This window comes from Homo sapiens, chromosome 6, assembly GCF_000001405.40.
Source record: "Homo sapiens chromosome 6, GRCh38.p14 Primary Assembly".
In the NCBI taxonomy this organism is placed as follows: Eukaryota; Metazoa; Chordata; class Mammalia; order Primates; family Hominidae; genus Homo; species Homo sapiens.
In genome coordinates this window covers 20,745,212-20,762,165 of record NC_000006.12, presented here as the reverse complement: position 1 = coordinate 20,762,165, position 16,954 = coordinate 20,745,212, and the positions used below count along the sequence as shown (strand labels likewise).

At 37.0% G+C, this 16,954-nt stretch overlaps 1 protein-coding gene across 12 annotated transcripts in view; it reads right to left on the bottom strand.

Annotated features, from left to right (window-relative positions):
- CDKAL1 (CDKAL1 threonylcarbamoyladenosine tRNA methylthiotransferase) overlaps positions 1-16,954 on the bottom strand; it is a 697,948-nt gene that overhangs the window by 470,239 nt on the left and 210,755 nt on the right. For all 12 annotated transcript variants that reach the window (XM_047418949.1, XM_047418952.1, NM_017774.3 and 9 more), the window contains one exon: positions 3,523-3,571. In XM_047418949.1, coding sequence (XP_047274905.1) covers positions 3,523-3,571 — 49 coding nt within the window. The remainder of the gene's footprint in view (positions 1-3,522; positions 3,572-16,954) is intronic.

Sequence of the window (16,954 nt, the reverse complement as noted above, 5' to 3'; positions counted from 1 at the left end):
TAGAAATTTTATCTCTCCAGGCCATTTGGCAAACTCCTAAGCACACTGTTAATTACCATTAATTTCCTAAAATAGATTTTATTTTTTAGAGTAGTTTTAGATTCAAAGAAAAACTCAGCAGAAGTACAGTTTCTATATATCACTGCCCCCACTTCACACACAGCCTCTCCAACTATCAATATCCTACAACAGAGTGGTACGTTTGTTACAATCAATGAACCTACACTGACACATCATTTTCATCAAGAGTCCACAGTTTACATTAGGGTTCACGCTTGGTGTTGTTCATTCTAAGGATTTAAACAAATATATAATGACAATTGTCCACCATTACAGCATCATACAGAATAGAATTACTGTCATAAATATCTTCTGTTTTCTGCCTACACATCCCTCCCTACTCTCTAATCACTGACACCAACTGATCCGTTTACTCCTTCCGTATTTCACCTTTTCCACAATGTCCAATTAGTTGGACTCATAGAGTATGTAGCCTTACAGATTGATGTCTTTCACATCATAGTATGCATTTAAAGTCCCTCTATGTCATTTCATGGTTTTTTAGCTCATTTCTTTTAGTGTCAAATAATACTCCATTGTCTGCATGTACCACAGTTTCTTTATCTATTTACTTACTAAAGGGCCATTTTTTTGCTTCTAAGTTTTAGTAATTACAAATAAAGCTACTATAAACACTGAACAGGTTTTTGTATAGACGTAAGTTTTCAACTCATTTGGATAAATATCAAGTAGCACACCTGCTGGATGATGTAAGACTGTGTTTAGTTTTAAGAAATTGCCAAACTGTCTTTCAAAGTACCTGTACCATTTTGCATTACCACCAGCAATAAATGAGAGTTCCTGTTGCTCCATATCCTTGCCAGAATTTGGTGTTGTCAATGTTTTGGATTTTGACCATTGTACCAGGTGTATAGTTTTAACATACCACTATATTGCATTGCTGCTTTAATTGGTAATTCACTAATGACAGACATACGATGTCAAACACCTTTTTATATGCTAATTTGACATTTGCATATCTTCTTTAGTAAATTGTCTGTTCAGGTCTTTTGCCCATTTTTTAACTGGGTTGTTCCTTTTCTTATTATTGAGTTTTAAGAGGTCTTCATATATTTTGGATAATAGCCCTTTATCATATGTGTATTTTGCAAATATTTTCTCCCACTCTGTGGCTTATTTTCCCATCCTCTTGACAGTGTCTTTTATAGAGCAAAAAATTTTCAACTTAATGACATCCAACTTGGCAATTATTTCTTTCATAAATCATACTTTTGATGTCGTATCTAAACAATCACGCCACATCAAGATCACCTAGATTTTCTCCTATATTCTTCATCATCATTAATTTTTTTAAAAAATTATTGAGTGGCCAGTATATACCTGGTACTTAAGACAAAGGATGAATAAGGCAACAATGCCCTCAAGTATCTTAAATCACTGCTTAAGACACTCAATCAAATAACATTTAAGGTAGTGAATCTCAACTGTGAGAGAGCAAAGAAATAACAGTATCGTATAAATCACAGTATAATGTACAGGCTTTGGAGCCAGACTGCCTGGATTCAAATCCCAATGCTGTCACTTACTAGCTGTATGCACCTGTGTCTCAACTTGGTCCTCTGCAAAATTAGGAAAATATTTATGCCCACTTCACTTCACAGTACTATTATGAAGGTTAAATGACTTAACCCATGTGAAGTGTTTAACATAGTGGCTGTCACACTGTAGGTACACAATAAATGCTAGCACTTCTGGATTCTCCAGGACGGAGTTGAAGTAGTTTGTAAAAACATTCAAATTATCATTGCTATAAATTTTTAATCCTGATATTTCACTTTATTTTGGAACATCAAAAGAAGATTAAGGGCCAAGCATGGCAGCTCATGCCTGTAATTCCAGCACTTTTGGAGGCCAAGGTGGGTGGATCGTTTGACCCCAGGAGTTCGAGACCAGCCTGGGCAACATGGCAAAATCTCATCTCTATTTATAAAATAAATAATTTTTAAAAATTAAAAAATAATAAAAAAAGATTAAGGTATAGTCTCATTCTCATATTCTCATAATCTCATTTATTAGAAATTGATTCTGTAATAATCTCTGATAAGGCAATGATTCAAAATTAATGAATAGAAGCATGTGGAAAGTAGTAGACACCACCCAGAAGGAAAAGTGCAGCATTAAAATTTCCAGTTTGGCACGTGGAGACTATATGGTTTTTTAAAAAATATAAGTTTCTCATTTACAACAAAACAGTACTTAAGTGAGACTTTCAATTCACTTAATATTTCAGTATCATATTATTGGTTTTCATTTGTGCTAATCAAACATAGGAAAAAGCCTTTAAAAATTTAAAATTATACCACAGAGTTGAAGATGGTTTATTTCACAGTGACTTCAATAAGAATCTATGTCAGTGAGTGTTGGCTAACAAAATAAGCAAAGCTTAATTCTACTTTCTTTGTGTAATTTTTAGTGTAACTATAAAAAATACACCTTGAACAAGCATCAAAATTATTACTGTTAAAAGTACTTACAAAACAACCTAATTATGTGATAACAAAATGTACAAATAAAAAATTCCTTATTATTTATTTATTTATTTTGAGATAGGGTCTCGCTCTGTCAACTGGGCTGGAGTGCAATGGTGCAATCACTGTTCACTGCAGCCTCAACCTCCCAGCCTCAAGCAATCCTCCCACCTCAGCCTCCTGAGTAGATGGGTCTACATGAGCACCCCACCACACCCAGCTAATTTTTCTATTTTTTGTAGAGATGAGGTTTCGCCATGTTGCCCAAGCTGGTCTCGAACTCCTGGGCTCAAGCAATCCAACTACCTCAGTCTCCCAAAGTGCTGGGATTACAGGCATGAACCACTGTGCCCAGAAAATTTCTTTATCTTAAAATTGATTAAATTCTTTCAATCTGAAATTCAAACTAAATTCATTTTACACAAAAATAAAATAATATTTAAAAAAGAAAACTATGACCTGATTCATTTATTCTTTAAAGACAGGGTGTCACTGTGTTGCTCAGGCTGGAGTGCAGTTACATGATTATAGCTTACTGCAGACTTGAACTCCTGGACCCAAATGATCCTCCAGCTTCAACTTCCTAAGTAGCTGGGACTACAGGTGCACACCACAGCATCAAGCTGACTTTCTCCCCCAGAGATCCCAGGATCTTGCCCAGGCTGGTCTTGAACTCCTGGCCTCAGGAATCCTCCAGCCTCAGCCTCAGCCTCAGCCCCAGCCCCAACTGCTGGGGTTACAGGAGTAAGCCATTGCTCTTTGCCTGATTCATTTATAAGCCAAACAAATATACAGCGAGTGCCTGCCTCCAATATTAGACTGGCAAATTCATGAAGCCAAGGATAACATTTTATGATTTTATATCTAAAACAATAACTTTTATAAAGGTGCCTGGCAAGAGTTACCTGAGTGGTGTTTCTACTATGTAGTTCAGAAAATATATACATCTGTTTATCTCACTTTCAACGATTACCTTTAATTGTCTCCTCCACAACTTCTACCACACGATCTATCTGCTGAACCTGGAAAAAAAAAAAAACGATTACACAAGTAATTTACACGAAGAAACAAAATTTGTGTTTATCCTTATGCTTGAGTCAATGTTACACATTTTCTAAGCACATCAATGCAGGTTTCCTTTAATGTATTTGGAGACACTATAAAAAATATCCTATATTAATATTTTGTGTTTCAATGAAGTATGAAATTATCACTCTCCTGTCCTCCAATGATAACTGAAGATATCATATTGCATTTAAATAAACTGCCTGGAGTTGTTTTAGGATAGCCTATCAACATATACTCAACATATCCTGAGACAGAAACTTAAGTTTAATTAACACATGTCTTCTCACACAGAGCTTCAGGAAAAAAAATGGCATAAAACGACAAGCTACACAAAAAGAACATGCTAGTATTAAGGAGATCTGTTCCAAATTCTATCTTTATTATTTTAATACTCAAAACCCTTTTGATGAATTTCTACCATGTGCTGGGTACTGTACTCAGGTCCATGAAATACAAAGTCAAATAATACAGCTTCTGTTCTATACACCAGAGACTAAGGAAGCTTTGCCATGGGAACACAGAGGAAAGGTAATAAAATCAGACCAAGTGATGCAGGAATGCTTCCTAGAGAACCAAGGATGACTCCTGGGGTTATGATTAAACAGGATTATGATTGGAGAAACCCACTGAGAATGAGTAAGCATGGCTAGAGTTTAAAAGGAAAATGAAAAAAAGCAAAGTAATATTATGATTCACAAAGCTAAAAAAAGAATAAGTCAAAGTCGATTCTTCTTTAAAAGTCCTTAAATTACCGTTGTTTTATTACAGAAGAAATATCACAAAAAAGTCAAACAAAATAGAATATAAAATGGAAGTCAGTTGAAAGAAATCATAACATCTTTCATGCTGTATTTCCACTCCTCAGATGAAACCACTAATAATAGTGTGATGAGCAGATACCATGACATTTTCTGGCATCAAACATTTACATATAGGTCTGTTCTATAGTTTTATCCTTCTTTTACAAATGATAGAGGGTGTGTGTGTGTGTGTGTAAATAAATATATAAAAAAGATATACAAAATAGACCAAGACCAGCTGGGGCAACACAGTGAGGTCCCGGGGTCTTTGGTAGGGGGTTATACATATGTATAAAATACACCTGTGCCTTGATGTTTTTTCTATATATTGTCAGTCTATAGGTCTATTTCATTCACCTTACTATCTCTCTGTATGGATGCATGATGTGATGCATGCATCCATACCTCTATTGATGAAAAAATTTCTATTCTTTCATTATTATACAACTCTGCAATGAACTCAACTGAGACAAGAGGAACCTGTTTAAAAAACTTTATTAAAAATGTAATGGCTGGCTGGCCACAGTGGTTCATGCCTATAATTCCAGCATTTTGGGAGGCCTAGGAGGGGGCAGATCACTTGAGGTCAGGAGTTCGAGACCAGCCTGGCCAACATGGTGAAACCCTATCTCTATTAAAAATACAAAAATTAGCCAGGTGTAGTGGTGCATGCCTTAGTCCCAGCTACTCAGGAGGCTGAGGCAAGATAATAACTTGAACATGGGAGGTGGAGGTTGTAGTGAGCTGAGATCACACCACTGCACTCAAGCCTGGGCAACACAGTAAGGAAAGGAAGGAAGGAAGGAGGGAAGGAAGGGAAGGAGGGAAGGAAGGAAGGAAGGAAGGAAGGAAGGAAGGAAGGAAGGAAGGAAGGAAGGAAGGAAGGAAGGAAGGGGAGAAGGAAGGAAGAAAGGAAGGAAGGAAGGAAGGAAGGAAGGAAGGAAATGGTAATTCTCTTAAAAATATTCCTTTGGTCTCAGTATCTTACAGAAAATGAGGAAAGGCTTGTGAGAGCAGACCTGAACTCCATTCTACGTCTGACCACTCAGCCCAACATGATGGCAGCAGCAACAATAATTACTGAGAAACTGCCAAAGGTAAGTAAATCTCAGACAACATTAGGTTTTCAGCCCCCAACAAACCTACCCAACCGGAGATGCATCTACCAGGAAACAATGGAACCATTAGGCCCTGGTTTTATTATAAGAGCCCATGTGGCTTCCATACAGAATGTGATTGAAGAAGCCAGCAGAACAAAGATTTCAAAGAGGAGGAAGTGACCAACAGTGTCAAATACTACAGAGACATAAGTATACAGACTAAAATGAATATGTTTGATTTAACAATACGGGAATCAAACTTAGGGAAAGCAGTGAGTTCAGTAGTAATGAATTATACGTAAGAAAACAGAGAGAGTTAATTTGTACTCAGTAAAAAGCTGGGGAGAAAGGGAAGGAGAAGAAAGGCTCTTGATGGCTAGAGAATATTGAATATATTACATTTTGGTTTAGGTTCGTACAAGTAACTATTTATTTCTTTTTTTGCAGTTTGAGCAGAGAAAGGCAGTAGGCAAAGGAGCTGTAGACTGAAAAACAAGTGATGGAGCAATGATCTTCAGGAAGTAGACCGAGCAAAATCTAAAACATGAATAGAGAACAAGTCAGAGTGAGAAAAGGGCCAACTCTTCGTCTCCTGAAAGAAGAGGTTAGGGGTAAAGCATGGGAAAAGATGCTAGTACTCTTGTAGAGGTCAGGGAGAATCTAAGCAAATTCCCACCTGTTGCCCTCAATTTTTCTCAGTAAAGTAACCAGAAGTTCATCTGCTAAGAGTTAGAAAGCATATCATAAAATAACAGAATGAATGTTTTCAAATACCTATTACAGACAACAAGAGACAGTGATGACTAAGAACACATAAAATTCACCACACAATATTGGGACACCAGTTGAAATATGAGACCATGAATTTATAACAATAACTCCAAGTAGAGCTATAATTTTTCTCAAGTCCCAGCAGTTCTACAGTAGGAGCCAAACAGACAAACAGACTGACCCAAGGTTTGTTAATACCACCATTTATTCACTCATCAATTATTGAGCATCTAAATTATACCAGGATGGTTGAAAGGACTGATGAAACAACACTAAGAGATTTGTGGAATGGACTAGAAAGAAAATGGAACAAGGAAAGTTAACTATGCATTTTAGATGAGACGAAGTTTGGCAAATAGGTTAAACAGGGAAAGAAATAGAGCCAGAAAAGAAGAAATGAAGTGGCTGGGGGTTGGAGAAAGAAAAAAATGAAGGGGAAAAAAAGGAAGGAGAAAAGAAAAAGGACAGAAAGTTATAACCAGAGTACAGACACAGGCATTTAGTATTTCTGAAGAATAGTAAGGTCCAGTATCTGGCAATGGGAATAGGTTGCTGAAACAAGGTGTAGGTGATGACTGCTGGAACTGATGTATGATGAAGTGAGAGGTGACAATGTTGCCAAGACATTATATCCAGACACTCAGATTGCCAAAGATAATACAGACATGAATAGGATAAGAAAGAGTTGGTCAAATTTCCTACTGGATGTGGGTGAATGACCAAGATATCAATTAAGGATAGAAGACAGACAATAAAATGAATAAAATATAAGATAATTCCATGATGAAACCATAAAGAAAAATGTTTTCCTATGCAGTTAAAAATATAAAAGCTCAAAAGCACTGCATCCACTCTTGTAGCACATGGACTGAATAAGAAGCCATATTTCTAGAGAAAAGTCAGAACATGCAGAGGAAGCAGTCTGTTAAAAAGTTGAGGGTAAGCTAAAACTATAAAAGTCTTAGAAGAAAACACAGCCATAAATCTATATGAACCTTAGATTAGACACTGATTTCTTAGATGTAATGCCAAAGCACAAACAACAAAAACAACAAAAGAAAAAATAAATTGGATATCATCAAAATTCAAACCATTTGGTACTTCAAAGGACAACATCAACAAAGTAACATGACAACACAGAAAATGAGAGAAAACTTTTATAAATCACATATCTGGTAAGGAACTTATATCTAGAATTTATGAAGAACTTCTACAACTCAATAATAAAAAGACAACCCAATTAAAAATGGGAAAATAATCTGAACAGACACTTTTCCAAGGAAAATATACTTATGGCCAATAAATATATGAAAAGATGCTCAACATCATTAGCCAACCAGGAAATGCAAATCAGAACCGTAACGTAGGAATAGGGAGCTATTGCTTAATGGGTATAGAGTTTTAGTATGAGAAAATGAAAATATTCTAGAGATGGATAGTGGTGATGACTACACAACAATGTAAATGTACTCCACATCAGTTAAAAATGGTTACAGTGGTCAATTGTATTTTATGTGTAGTTTACCACTACTGAAAAAACACAATGAGATACTACTTCACACCCAGTAGGATGACTACCAACAAAAAGACAGGCAGGCCAGGTGCAGTTGCTCACACCTGTAATCCCAGCACTTTGGGAGGCCAATATGGGAAGATCACTTTAAGGCCAGGAGTTTGAGCCCAGCTTGGGCAACACAGCGAGATCCTGTCTCTACAAAAAATTTTTAAAAATTAGCTGGGCACAGTGGTGCTCACCTGTAGTCCTAAATACTTGAGAGGCTAAGGGGGAAAGACCGCTTGAGCCCAGGAGTTCAAAATTACAGTGACCTATGATCACACCACTGGACTCCAGCGTAGGTGACAGAGTGAGACCCTGTCTCTTAAAATACACACACACACACACACACACACACACACACATACAGATAATAACGAGTGTTGGTGAAAATGTGGAGAAATTGGAACCTTCATACATTGCTGATGGGAATGCAGTAAAATGATGCAGCACTTTGGAAAATAAGCTGCCTGTTCCTCAAATGATTAAATAAACAGTTACCATATAATTTAGTAATGTCAATCCTAGTTATAACTCCAAGAAAAATGAAAACATGTCCATAAAAAAACTTGTACACAAATGTTCATAATAGCATTATTCATAATAGGCAAAAACTGGGAACGGAAGTATCCATTCAGATTAACAACATGTGGCATATGCATACAACGAAATACAGCAACGCATCACTAAGACAGAATGTGTTCTGAGAAACGTGTTATTAGGTCATCGCTTCATTGTGTGAACTTCAGAGTGTACTTACACAAACCCAGATGGTACAGCCTACTACTCAACTAGGCTATATGATATAGCCTACTGCTCCTAGGCTACAAACCTGTACAGCCTGCTACTGTACTGAATACTGCAGGCAGCTGATACACAATGGTAAGAATCTAAACATATAAAAGGTACAGTAAAAATACTGTATTATAATCTAAAGAGACCACTGACTTATATACATCATTGATTAAAGTTTGTTACGTGGTGCCTGATCATATTACTAATCCATAAAAGGGAATGAAGTATGGTTACATGCTATAAATGCAAAGTGAAAGAAGCTAGACAAAAAGGTCACAATAGGAAATGTCCAAAATAAGAAAATCTACAGAGACAATGTCAGTTAGTGATTGTCTTTGGATGGGCAGAGGGAGAATGAAAGGCAGTTGCTAAGAAGTACCTGCGTTTTTTTTGAAATGATGAAAATGTTCTAAAATTAATTGTGGTAATGGTCATACAATTCTATGAATAAACTAAAATGCAATGAATTGTACACTTTAAATGGGTGAATTGCATAGTGTGTGAATTATATCTCAGTAAAGTTGTTATTACCAAAAAGAAAAAAAACGTTGGGAGTGGTCAAAGGTTCCAATGTCAAGGCCATGAAAGTCAACGAAAAACTGAGGAAATGATCCAGATTAAAGGAGACTGAAGAGACCTGACCTGAATGCTACTATGAATCTGAGACTTTTCATTTCCTATAAAGGACAGTATTGAAACAATTGGCAATATCTGAATAAAGCTAATACACTAGTTTATAATATTGTATTAATACTGATAATTGTACTATAGTGATTTAAGAGTGTGTCGTAGCTTTTTAAATATATGGGTATTTAGAAGTAAAGGGCATCATGGTTGCAACTCACTTTCATAAGGATCGGGATCAGGGGGAAAATGTGTACACATAAAAAGAATGAGAAAATGTGTTAAAATGTTAATATTTGGGGAATCTGGGTAAAGAGCATATAGGAACTCTTTATTTTTGCAACATTTCTGAGTGATACTACGTCAAAATGAAAAGTCTAAGAGTGTGTCTGTGTCTGTGTGTGTGTGTACATGTGTGCATGCACATAGAAGAAACAAAGATGGCCTGATGAAGATGGAGACCCTGATGGTCACACAGAATTTGCTTGAATGTATATAGCTGAAAATATATCCTCTAATTTAAAATAGTACTTGATTACATTTGCTTTTATGGCAGGAAGTGGAATATTGCCAACACATGATAATTTAAATCACTGGATGGTGTGTGGGAACCCCAGGACCTTAAAAAGAAAGATCTGCCAAAACTGTAAAATTTAAAAAAAAAATGTAAGTACTTGATTACAAACAGAAGAGAAGTTTATTAAATGATTTAAAGATAATATTATGTCCATTTTGGTTTCCAGTACGGAAGACAACGGAGGAAGCAATGGGGAAAAGGGAAAAAAGGGGAGACCAAGAGGAAACGGAGAGAAGAGTCAGGGGAGGGGGAGTTACGCGGAAGAGGAAAACATCAGAAGAAAAAAAAAATGAAGGGTGGGAGGCAGAGAAAGAAGAAAAAACAATCGAGAGCAAGAAAACAAACTCAAAATTCACATACAGTAATGAAGAATATATTGAACTCATTCTGGGAGAAAAGGAAAGTTGTTCTTAATTAATATATAAATTGAGGCTCTGAATACACAAGAGCTTATTCTCTAGCATGTAATTCAAATAAAATAAATAAAACAGTATCTTGTGTCCTTGAGGCACTTAGTTATAAATACACACAAAAAAAGACAGGCAGTATGTTTTATTACTGACTCCATATGTTCTCAACAATGAAGAAAGGAGTTGGTGTATAAACAATTCATAAATAACATTAATGAGTCATTCTACTGCAGAACTTTAAAAAGAAATCCACAAAAATATTTTATTCAGCTATTATCAACTATTCCAAATTTATAACTAGACATGTATTGAAGAAACAAGCCTATACAATGGCACTCAAAGCAAATAAAAATGCTATTCTAAAGTATCCTAATCACTCAGAGCAGTGCTGTCAGCAGGACCTTCTGCAATGATGGAAATGTTTATATGCTGTGCCATCCACTATGATAGTCACTAGCCACATGTGGTTATTACAGACTTCAAATGTGGCTACTGTTACTGAGGAACTTAATTCATATTTAAATAGTCAAATGTGGCTACTGCAGCCACACTGAAAAGTGCAGCTTTAGGGAATGGCTAAGGGAGCCACTCAGTTTACAGTAATTTGTTATGGCAGCCTTAGGAAATGAACATACATCTCAAACACAATTTTGCCAACTAGGCTTTAAAAAAAAAAGTCCACTCATTTGAAGCCGTCGGAGAACAAGCTGACACTACTCTGCAGTCGAAGGTTCTGTTTTAGTATGCACTTGAAGTATCATTTTTCCTGAAAAACCAGCAGCTAGATAAGTTAATGACTAGGAATAACACAGTGACAGCTAACATTTCTTGAACAATTACTCTGTTTCATGCTCTACACTGACACTTCACGTGCATTATCACACTTAATCCTCAAACACTACTAGGGAGGAGGAGACAGTACTGTTACTTCTTTTTTTTTTTTTTTTTTTTTTTTTTTTTTTTTTCACTCTGTTGCTCAGCCTGGAGTGCAGTGGTGTAATCTCGGCTCACTGCAACCTCCGCTTCCTGGGTTCAAGCGATTCTCCTGCCTCAGCCTCCTGAGTAGCTGGGATTACAGGTGCCTGCCACCACACCCGGCTAATTTTTGTATTTTTAGCAGAGATAGGGTTTCACCATGTTGGCCAGACTGATCCCGAACTCCTGACCTCAAGTGATCTGCCCGCCTCGGCCTCCCAAAGTGCTGGGATTACAGGCATGAGTCACCACGCCTGGCTGATAGTACTGTTATTTCTGAGGCTGAGAGATTTGAGGCACAAGGATATCAAGATAGATTTTTGCCAATGATTCCTAGTACATCTTGTCCAGGAATGGCAGATAGGTGGTCCACTTGATGAATCTCCCTTCTCCTATGCACATGGAGGTTATTATTAAATGATCATAAAATGCCCTTCAACTGAACGTGAACTTTCAAGAGACTCAGACAACTATTTTCTCCAAACTCTCCCCCACAAATCACCATTGGCATAAATACATTCATTTGAAAAATATTTGTTAAACACTAACTATGAACTACAAAGTTCTAGTAACTGGGGACATAACAGTGAAAAATACAATGTCCCTACTTTGGGAGGGTGAGGAGGGAGAATCACTTGAGCCCAGGAGTTTGAGACCAGCCTGGAAAACTAGAGACACCATCTTTACAGAAACAAAAAATTAGCCATGTGTGGTGGCATGTGCCTGCAGTCCCAGCTACTTGGGAGGCTGCAGTGTGCCGTGATCACATCATTCCACTTAGCCAGAGTGACAGGGCGAAACCTTGTCTCAAACAAACAAAAAATACAACATCCCTGCTTCATGGACCTTATAGTCTAATTAGGGGAAAGAAACTGCAAATAATGGAAAATTTTCATTTGCTACAATGACAGACACTATGAAGAAATTAAAATCTGGGGCCAGGTGTGGTGGTTCATGCCTATAATCACAGCACTCTGGGAGGCTGAGGCGGGAAGATTGTTTGAGCCTAGGAGTTTGAAACCACCCTGGACAACATGGCGAGACCCCGTCTTTATTTAAAAAAAAACAAAAAAGGAAAAGAAAAAGAAAATCTGGGGCTGGGCGTGGTGGCTCACACCTCTAATCCCAGCACTTTGGGAGGCCGAGGTGGGCAGATCACGAGGTCAGAAGATCGAGACCCTCTTGGCTAACACAGTGAGACCCCATCTCTACTAAAAATACAAAAAAATAGCCAGGCTTGGTGGCGGGCACCTGTAGTCCCAGCTACTTGGGAGGCTGAGGCAGGAGAATGGCGTGAACCCAGGAGGCGGAGCTTGCAGTGAGCCGAGATCGTGCCACTGCACTCTAGCCTGGGGGATGGAGTGAGACTCCATCTCAAAAAAAAAAAGAAAAGAAAAAAAAGAAAATCTGGGATTAGTGGTAGGAGGTAGAGAGCAAAATTTTTCTACAGCAGTCCAGTTAAACTTACTGAATAGGTAGCATCAGTCCAGGGACCCGAACCACTGACAGAGGCATCAATGCGAACCTCCGGCAGAAGAGTAAGCACAAGGACTGAGAGGCTGAAATAACATAAATGGGTTGTGTGGTCAAAAGAGGGACAGCAATTAGGGACACAGTGGTAAGAGATGAGGTCACATAATGATGGGAGAAAGAGTATGTGAGATCTTGCAGTTCAGCAGTTCATGCTATGTGGTTTAAATTTTATTCTATTTGCAAATGAAAGCCACTGGAGGGTTAATAGAATAATATTAACAACATTGCTCAGGCTAATTATATTAAAAATGTGAAACAGTGCTCTTTGTCCATATTTCTCTATTAGTTGGTATGACTCTTATTAAGACTGCATGAATCTGGCTGGGGTTTTACTATCTCTTGATTTTATCCCAAGATACCTCAAATCCTTTCAGGAGTAAAAGAAGTGAATACATTTTATATATATATATACACACACATACATATATATACACATACATATACATATATATATACACATACATGCAAAGTACTTTCTTATTAGCTGTCTTAATTTTGATTGTATATAAATAAATAAAAAGACAATGTCATTTTAATTCCAATTAAAAAATACCACAACCAAAACTTTAAAACTACCTGAAAACTCCACTGATCTGTAAAAGGAAAAAGTGATATCTAGGTCCAGTTTCATTCCCAACACCATAAAGAGACTATCCTTTCCCCAGTGTGTCTTCTTGGTGGGCTTGTTGAAAAAACTTCAGTTGAGTGCATATCCTTGGTATGCTTGGCTTTATCTCTAGGCTCTCTATTCTGTTCCCATTCGTCTATGTGTCTATTTTTATGCCAGTACCATACTGTTTTGATTACTATAGCTTTTTTTTTTTTTTTTTTTTTTTTTTTTTTTTTTTTTTTTCCAGAAACAGAGTCTTGCTCTCTTTCCCAAGCTGGAGCTGGAGTGCAGTGGCACAATCACAACAACTCGCCACAGCCTGGAACTCACCACAGCCTGGAACTCGCCACAGCCTGGAACTCCTCGACTCAAGCAACCCTCCTGCCTCAGCCTCCCAAGTAGCTGGAACTACAGGAGTATGCCATCATGCCAGGCTAATTTTTGTTATTGTTATTATTATCATTATTATTATTTTAGAGACAAGGTTTCAGTATGTTGCCCAGGCTGATCTCAAATTCTCGGCCTCAAGAGATCCTCTCACTTCAGCCTCTTGAGTTGCGGCAATTACAGGCACAAACCACTGCTAGCCACAATGGCTTTAGACTGTAATTTTAAACCACAAAGTGTTATGTCTCCAACTTTTTCCTTTTCAAGACTGTTTTGGCTATTCAGAGTCTCCTGTGGTTTCACACAAATTTTAGAACTGTTTTTCTATATTTGCAAACAATGTCATTGGAATTTTGATAGAAACTGCATTGAATCTGTATACTACACCATACATAAAAATCAGCTCCAGATTATAGGTCTAAATGTAAGACCTGACACTGTGAAATTCCTGGGAGAAAACTCTCTCTCCTTAAACATAGGGAAAAAGATCTTTGACATTGGCCTTGGCACTGATTTTTTGGATATCACACCAAAAGCTCAGGCAACAAAAAGCAAAAATAAACAAATGGGACTACATCAAGCTAAAATGATTCTGCACAGCAAGGGAAGCAATCAACTGAATGAAAAGGCAGCCTATGGATTGGGAGAAAATATTTGCAAACCATATACCTGATAAGGGGTTCATGTCCAAAATATACAAGGAATTCATATAACTTAATGGCAAAATAATTAAATAACCTTATTTAAAAATGGGCAAAGGACCTGAATAGACATTTTTCCAAAGGAAACATACAAATAGCCAATGAAAACATATATAAAAATGTGGTCAACATCATAATGATTAGGGAAAGACAAATCAAAACCACCATGAGCTATCACCTCACTGAGGATGGCCATGCCAAAGAGACAATAAATAACGAGTGTCAGCGAGGAAGTAGAGAAGAGAGAACCGTTATGCACTGTTGGTAGGAAAGTAAACTGGTACAGCCGTTATGGAAAACAGTATGAAGATTCCTCAAAGACTTAAAAATAGAACTACCATATGATCCAGCAATCCTTATATATCCAAAGGAAATGAAATCAGCACTCTGTAGAGATATCTGTGCTCTCAAGTTCAATGCAGCATTATACACAATAACCAAGATGTGAAAACAACCTAAGTATCCATCGATGGATGAATGAATAAAATAATTGTGGTATATTTAAGTAATGGAATATTATTCAACATTTTTAAAAGGATATCCAGTCATTTGTGACAACACTGATGAACCTGGAGGACATTATGCTAAGTAAACTAAGCCAGACACTGGGAAAAAAAAATGCATGATTTCAATTGTGTGTAAAAGCTTTACTTAAAACAAGTCAAATACAGAGAAACAGGGAGTAGCCTGGGGATTACCGGGGTGGGGAGGGGGAGAAAAATGTGAAGTAGATCAAAGGGTACAAAGTTGCAGTTATGTAGGACAAGTCTAGAGATCTAATTACATCATCAGGGCTATATTTAATATTGTATACTGAAAATCTGCTAAGAGTAGATATTAGGTGCTCTTACTACACACAAACATAAAAAGTAACTACAGAAGGAGATGGATAAGTTATTTTGCTTGACTCTAGTAATCATTTCACTATGTATATATAAAAACATTGTACACCTTAAATATATACAATAAAAAAGGAAAGAAATGCCCTTATTTCCATCTCCATTAAGAACTATACATATAAAGTCTTTTCCATCAAATATATGTTCAGATGTTTCCCCTTTACCATAACGAAGTTTGATTGAATAATCAGCATCTGACAAGTCAAAGTTCAATATTAACTTCTCTATTAAGCCAAGTCCCTACCTTACATAGTAATGGAGGAGGGCTCAATTTCCAAATCCCTTAAATGTGGGGAAGCTGACAGCAGTCACTAAGCTAGCTTAATGTGTTTCAACGCTATGAGAAGATTTTTCTTGAACTCACAAGCCCGTGAGCAACTTTGCTGTGTAACACAAAACAGCATTTGATGTTATGTGTGATTTAACTTTAATACTCATCTCCCAGTATATTTTCATCTTTAATCTCTTCATTCAAAAAGATTCTTCCCCAAAGGTAGAAATAGCCCTTTCAACAGAAGTTACATGACAGTACATTCCTCATAACACTGAAGGCATATTTCACCTGAATGGTAGTACCAGTGAGTGACTAATACTGAGTTAGAGATAAAAATAACTAACTGAAAGATGAAGCCAGGCTAGAAGGGTGCCAGTAAAATGAGGATTGGTACCAGGAACCTCTCTTCCTCTTAAATGCAACTAAAATACCGATTAAACTTTCTGTAGCGGGGAGGGGTAAAGGAGGCACAAAACCCCTTCAGCAATAAAAACAAAATTCAACAGGCTAAGCTCAATCACACACAGAAACAGTGTTTGGGACATCAGAATACTCCTATTAAATAACAGAACATGTTGCAAATTAAAAGATAATTTAAAAAGTGATACCAAAGTTAAACACAGAGTAATATTATAACTAAAACAAATACACATTAGAGATGTAAAATACCAATTAATAAACAATTTTACACATCAGACTTGTCCAACCCATGGCCTCTGGGCCCCACGTGGCCCAGGACAGCTTTGAATGTGGCCCAACGCAAACTAATAAACTTTCTTAAAACATTATTAGATTTTTTTTGGCGATTTTTTTTTAGCTCATCAGCTATTGTTAGTATTAGCCGAGAATTTGAGATCAGCAATTTGAACCCACGCAATCTAGTTCCTGAATCCATACTCTTAATCACTATGATATACTACATTTTAATCATTCAATAGGTGAAACATATATGAATACAGGTGAGATTAGAAGATGCCAAAAAAAGTGAAACCAACAGGTCAAGGAAGGGAAAAACATAAATGGGTGTTTAAATTTACATGTCATTCTCTCACAATACTACCTTTTAGACAACGGAAGTTAAAAAAAAATAGAACATGGCAAGAAGAAATGTTCGAAGTAGGGGCAAACAGGAGAAGGAGAGCGTTCCTCAAGCCTTGCCCTCAATACTGATCCCACTGTTACTGTGACACTGCTCCACTTTGTGAATTTGTTTACCTTTTGCAACATGGTGTACGATAGAAATATTCTCAAATTTAGCCGTTCAAATGCAGCTTTAACTGTACACATAATTTTCAAAATTAAAGTGCTCGCATTTGAAATAGTCAA